General features: G+C 50.0%; 1 long non-coding RNA gene across 1 annotated transcript; it reads left to right on the top strand.

The window, feature by feature from the left end:
• Nucleotides 1-340: 340 nt before the first annotated feature.
• On the top strand, nt 341-5,494 carry LINC01395 (long intergenic non-protein coding RNA 1395). Its single transcript, NR_120582.1, has 4 exons — nt 341-599; nt 2,075-2,303; nt 3,123-3,285; nt 5,164-5,494. It is a non-coding gene; the product is annotated as a long intergenic non-protein coding RNA 1395 (long non-coding RNA).
• The last annotated feature ends 637 nt before the right edge of the window (nt 5,495-6,131 follow it).

The following is a 6,131-nucleotide window of genomic DNA, read 5'->3' as shown; positions in this document are numbered from 1 at the left end:
TCTCAATCTCTGGTAGACAACTCCCTACCAGGCCACCTTTCTTTCTCTGGGCCAGTTAGCACCTTCGAGAAGTTCTCCTGTGGCCATGCCCACCTGCCTGTCCTCTCCAGGAGAAAGAGAGAGTGGCAGGGCAGGAGGAGGGTCCCCACCTCCATAGGACAGCTGGCTTAGCTCTGCAGAGCCCCTGTGGCTGGGAGGGTGTGTGTTAGGGCCCCATGGGGTCAGGGTACAGGCAGGCTTTCCAGGCAGGTGGGCCTGCCTCAGTCCCATCCTGCACCCCCTGTGGATCAACGTCAACAGCAAGAGACTCACACAGGGTCTGCTTCTCTCTCCTTGTCAGGTACAAGAGAACTCTGCATTTGTCTTCTGCCCACAACTTCGTTGAAGAAGTGGAGAGGCCAAGCAACTCCAAGGCTGTTTGGAAGGAGAGCTGGGCTCTGCCTCCTGGGAGAGTTGGAGGACATTTCTTCTCTGTGGAGTGTGAAGGGAGGACTGCCCTATTCCTTGTCTGCTAGTGCTTGCCCCTGGGAGCCAGTGCATCTTATCCCTTTTAATTCTCGCTGGCTCCCAGGGGCACGTATTACCATCCCATTTTACGGGTGAGGAGACTGAGTTTCAGAGAGTTGTTCCTGTATAGCTGTAAATATGGGAGGCCGAATAGGATGGGTTACATCACCTGCAACTAGTTTTATGGCCAACAGGAATTCATTTTCCTGGTTCTTGCAAAGCGGTGGATAAGGCTGGGAATTAGGATGCCCTCCTTCTACTCTAGTCATGCCAGTTTGGCCTCTGCTCTATAAACAGCCCTTGTTCTTTTCTGTCTCCTAGATTCTCTCACATAGCTTCCCCAACTTGGAATGCCACTCTCCCTCCCACCAGTTCAACTCCTGCATACCTGAAAGGCCCAGCTAACCTCTTCCCACAGGAACCTTCCCTGCCCACTCTAGCTCTTGGCCATCTCTCCCTACTCTAACTCTAACAATTGCATTCTGTGCCATAAAATCAAACTCTTCATGACAGTACTGCCTTTTATGATTTGCTCATTGTTTCCATTTCATTCGTCTCATTCCATCAGCCAGACTGATCCGTGTAAGGGCAGGGACCGAGCACGGACACTTCCCCTAGATGCCCCACTGTTTCCAGCTGAGTGCTGCCATAAAGTTGCACTCGGTGACTCCTATTTGGCTAACATTCTAAACATGAGCCAAGGGTCTTTGCTACAAGACAGTGAGGGGTGGTACTATTGGGCTTTCAACCATTAATGAGCTAGCAGCAACTTCCCCTCACTTGGTGGCCAGCCTGCCTGGTTCCTCCAGACTGTCAAGAAGGATTGCACCTGAGTTAGCTGAGAAAGAGAGACAGAGCTTAATTGTATGCTCCGTTCACACTAAGGCACCCAAGGACTACTTAGACCAGAAGCGTGGGCAGGTGTAACCACGTGGGGCTGGGGCTCCGGGGGCTCTGTGCAGCCTCCTTCCCTCCCAGGTATGTGACGATTGAGGATAAGTAAGTGAAATGCAAACAGTTATATACATAACAAACAATCTGGTCTAAAGTTGAAAACCACAAGGTGAATTATTGGAGTATTTCTTTCTGGGGCCCAGCCTGGAAGGAGAAGAGACGGAAGGTGTCCACCTGCGCCAGCCGTGGTGTTTGGGTGAGGCACAGGTTGAAAGCAATTACAGGGCTCTTGGGAAACAGCCTCGGCCCTGGAACTGTGGCAAGAACTTGGACTCGGTGGCCTGGTTTCAAATTATTGGAGTACTCTTTTTGGAATATTTCTGTGCTTTCTGTTGAAAGTTTGAGGCTGTTCAATGACATTATCTAAGGCCAAGCCCTTTTTCCTGTTACCTTCTCAGCATACATGAGTGGTCATTTCTTACCTCTATAGCTTATAATGTGTTTTCACATCTGTCATCCCATTTACTTCTTGCAAGACTTTGGAAGGGAATAACAGTAACAATAACAATGTTAATAAAAATGTTGATATTTATTAAATACTTACATGTTCTAGGCATCAAGGGCACTAAGGGCTTTATGTGTATTAATTGGTTTGTTCCTCACCGTTTCACAGATGCAGAAACTGAGGCACTGAGAAGAATGATTTCAGACCATACAGTCTTCCAAGTGGCAAAGCCTGGGCTTGAACCAGGTCTCCTGACCTACAACTTGGCAGAGAGAGGGACAACCACCATGTCCCCTTGTCCGTGGCTGCATCCAGTGCCGATTTAACTCAGCACTTCCGGGAAGCCCCTTTCTCACCCTGGCCCCAGGCTCGTTCCTGGGGAAGATTCAGTGATTGGGTTGGTATCCTGAACTCAAGGGAGGGAGACAGGAGAACTGGGCTTAGCTTGGTCATTCCCTTAACCTCTCCAAGCCAAAATTTTGTTATCTGCAAATTAGGAATGATGGTTCTAAAATATCTGATAGGCCTGTTGGAAGCATCTCATGAGACAGCGTAAATATAAAGCACTTGTAATCAAATTCCCCTCCTCTTCCCTTTCCCTGCTGTTCCAGGGAGCGTTGCATGTATAGACACAGGGTTTATTGTTGAATTGACATATTTATTTGCTGGGCCACATTACTGAATATAATAAGGCAAGACCCACTGAAAGGAACTCTGACTTCTGGTATCCCCTGGGAAGGAGGCCTGTCTTCAGTATGGAAGTAAGATCTCAGAAAGTAGGTCGTGGGTGAGAGAGAGACATCTGGCTCCTTGGCCTCTTTCTCTCCAGCCTGGACCTTGTGGACTCTAGACAGGCTGGAGGATATCCTTTGCAGACAAGTGGGGCTGGGCAGAGAGCCTCTCTGTGTGGGCCACAGGGTGCGGCAGTCACCTTAAGGGTTACTTGCATGTTATTCCCCACTTGAGTTACATCTTGTTGAAAAGCTCCAGCCTGGTCTCAGCCGCGCCACTGAGGACAACAGGGTATTCAAGTCTGGGCTTTTGGGGTAAGTAAGAACAGCAGTGCATGCTGGTCAGCAGGGTGCGCTGCCAGTGGCGTGTGTTGGTGGGAATGTCCCCAAGGCAAAGGGGGACCAAGAGCAGAGGTAGGAGATACGGCCACCCAAGTGGAGATCCTCCCTGCCAGCACTCCTTTGGTCAACAAACTGCATTCCAGGTCTTACTGAAGGGGCTCTTGAGTGCTGAGAGCTCCACGAGAGGAAGAAGATGCCTGGGTGCTGAGTAAGGAAACTGACATGGAACACCTGCCTTCCACCAGGCAGGGCTGCTGGGAACACCGTGGGCATTTTCTCACTTCATTTTCACAATGACCCTACGAGGTAGGTGCTGTGACTTTCTCCCGTGTTTGGGGAAACTTGGCCTTGGAGAGGTTAGCTGGTGCACCCCAGGGGCCAGGCCGTGGGTGACCAGGCTGGGATCCAAAGCCAGGTCTGTGGGACTCACCTGCTGGTGCCATCTCCACACACCCTGCAGTGTGCCTGGGGTGGCTTGGCCTGCTGTGGCCCTTTGTTTCTCTTTGAGAGAAGGGAGGGAATGTTTATTTCACTAACTGGGATGGTGAGATCATTATCACCCTCAAAAAGCATGTATTAAATCCCTAATAGTTCATGGCACTGAGCACAGGACTGAATTATTTTGTACACAAAAATAATTAACAGAAGGACACAGATAGGGTCTCTGCCTTCTGGGAACACAGGATCCCCAGCACGTGAAGGTGAACTCAAGTGCCATGCCTGTAAAGCCGAGGCCGTGGTGCCATTCTCAGGAAGCCTGATGACCTGTGTGACTTTGGGCAGTTCCTCACTCTCTGCAAGCTTTCTCCAGGCTTGCCACATGGTGAGATAATATACGGAAAGCACTTAGCAAGTGCTCAACATATACTGTACATTCTCAATCATCAATAACTATTATTACAGCCATTGGGTAGATGGCTTGTACCCAAAATGGATTTAGGGATGAGGGAAAGGTTTATGGTTAAACACTTTTTTAGGGGGTGGGGGGGTAGAGTCTCATTCTGTTGCCCAGGCTGGAATACAGTGGAGAGAACATGGTTCACCTGCAGCCTCTACCTCCTGGGCTCAAGCAATCCTCCCACCTCAGCCTCCTGAGTAGCTGGGACCACAGGTGCATGCTACCATCCCTGAGTAATTTTTTAATTTTTCTGTAGAGTCAGGGCCTCACCATGTTGCCCAGGCTGGTCTCGAACTCCTGGGTTCAAGTGATCCTCCTGCTTTGGCTTCCCAAAGTGTTGGGATTACAGGTGTGAGAGACCGTGCCTGGCCAGAAAGAAGACCCTTGATTGCACAGTGGAGGCGCCCTTTCCCTACTCCACTGCTCTGTGGCTGTGGAAAGGCTACAGGGCTCTTGTTTTCCTTACAAGAAAATGTTCTCATTCTTCTGAGATAAGGAGGGCTCAGCCTTTATGGAGCAATCCTTCAAGTGTCTGTCTCTTAGTCACTGGTCTTTAGTTCTTTATTCTGGAGAGATGTGTGGCTTTCCTGAGGCAAAAGAGGTGAAGGAACTGTGCAGGCTAGAGCTATTAGTGACCTGCATACAGTAACATTGTGCACATGTACCCTAGAACTTAAAATATAATAAAAATAAAAAATAAAAAAAAGAACTCAATAAGTGCTGACTGACCGGCATACCAGGGTGGGGGGTGCCCAGTTTCCCCAGACCTACAAAGGAGCCTGCTGTCCTTTCAGTATTTGCCTGAGGGACAAAATGACAGAGCCGCGAACCCATCAGGTAAGACATCTGGGGCTGCCAGGGCTGCAGATGCAGACGGAGGGCTCCCAGAGGAGCTTTCACCCTGTGAGGTCCTGCAGTGTGCACCCTTTGCCGTGCACAGCTGGACAGGGATTGACTGAGGAGCCCCAGTGACACAAGGGCACATCCTTTGGAAAATCTCTTTTGTTTCTTCCTGGCAGAGGCCGGGTAAGACACAAGCTTCATGCTTAATGGCCTGTCAGGGGGGAAACAAATCCACAGCAGTAGAGAGAAAAAGATTAAACTAATAATAAAACCAAACCCAAACATCACCGCCCTCCCACCCCTCCGCCCCAGCCCACACCTGACACTGTGAGCTGTCTTCCAGCCAGTTCCCCTCCCAGGCAAATAATATTTATTCCATGAGGCCCTGACACACCGGTCCCCAATAAGACAATGCTTCATTGTTTCTTCTTTCCCCCCTGCAGCAAACCATGGGTGCAGCAGAAGACATGAAAAGGGAAAGGAGCGAGGTTGCTGCTCTTCTCGTGGGACCAGCTCCCGGTGCTGTCAAAACAAGCCTGAGATAAGGGCGGGCAAGGGGTGGCAGGCTCAGAGATTAGCGCTGCTACTGCCCAACCTGCTCAGAAAGTTTCATTCTTTTAGCAAAGTTCCTGGCAGCTGTGACCACTTAAACGGCTTTTGCTTCCATTAAACAGGAGACTCATTAAGTCACGGAGCTTAAAACAGCTCTAAAGGGCCCAGTAGTCATTCCTCAGTGAAAAGTGCCAATTCATTGCTTGGTAGATTAAAAAAAAACCTGGAGGTTCGCAGTCAGAGGTGAGTTTCTGTAGCATTGGGGTTGACGGTTGACCTCGAGGTGACCTTGTGCTAAAAAAACGGTCTTGTGTGAGTCAAAGAGGCCTGCACTGGTGGTGCAGTGAGAAGAGGGAAGGTTCAGACACAGAGAGGAATCGGATTGTCAGTTTCCCCAGGTTCTCAGCAGCTGCCCTGTCTGTTCAGACCTGAAAGGTCCAGACAGATGTCTTATCGATGTTAGGGTTTATCAATACATTTATCAATGGGATGTATGTTGCAGGCCGAGACAGTTTGTGTTTTCCCAGTCCAAGTTTACTTCCTCGTGGATCAGCCACAGCCATCAGGGGCAGGACAAGTCGCGCCTTGAAACTAGGGATGGTGTCCCTTTCTTCTTTGAGCAGTGCCTGTAGACAATTTACAGAAAGGAGGGGAACAAATGATAACCCCAGGGGCTGACCTACATTGCCCTCTTTCATAGGGGAGCCCACCCCTCACTCAGCAATGGTCCAAGGTGGCTAAACCAGCCAGTAGGCGGGAACATCGTGACTGCTCACGAGGGCAAAGTGGGCCAGGTGCGGTGGCTCACACCTGTAAGTCTAGCACTTTGGGAGGCTGAGGTGGGCAGATTGCCTGAGCT

The sequence above is a fragment of the Homo sapiens genome, chromosome 11, assembly GCF_000001405.40.
Source record: "Homo sapiens chromosome 11, GRCh38.p14 Primary Assembly".
Taxonomy (NCBI): Eukaryota; Metazoa; Chordata; class Mammalia; order Primates; family Hominidae; genus Homo; species Homo sapiens.
Note: the sequence above shows the minus strand (reverse complement) of the source record. Positions and strands in the feature narration are given on the sequence as shown.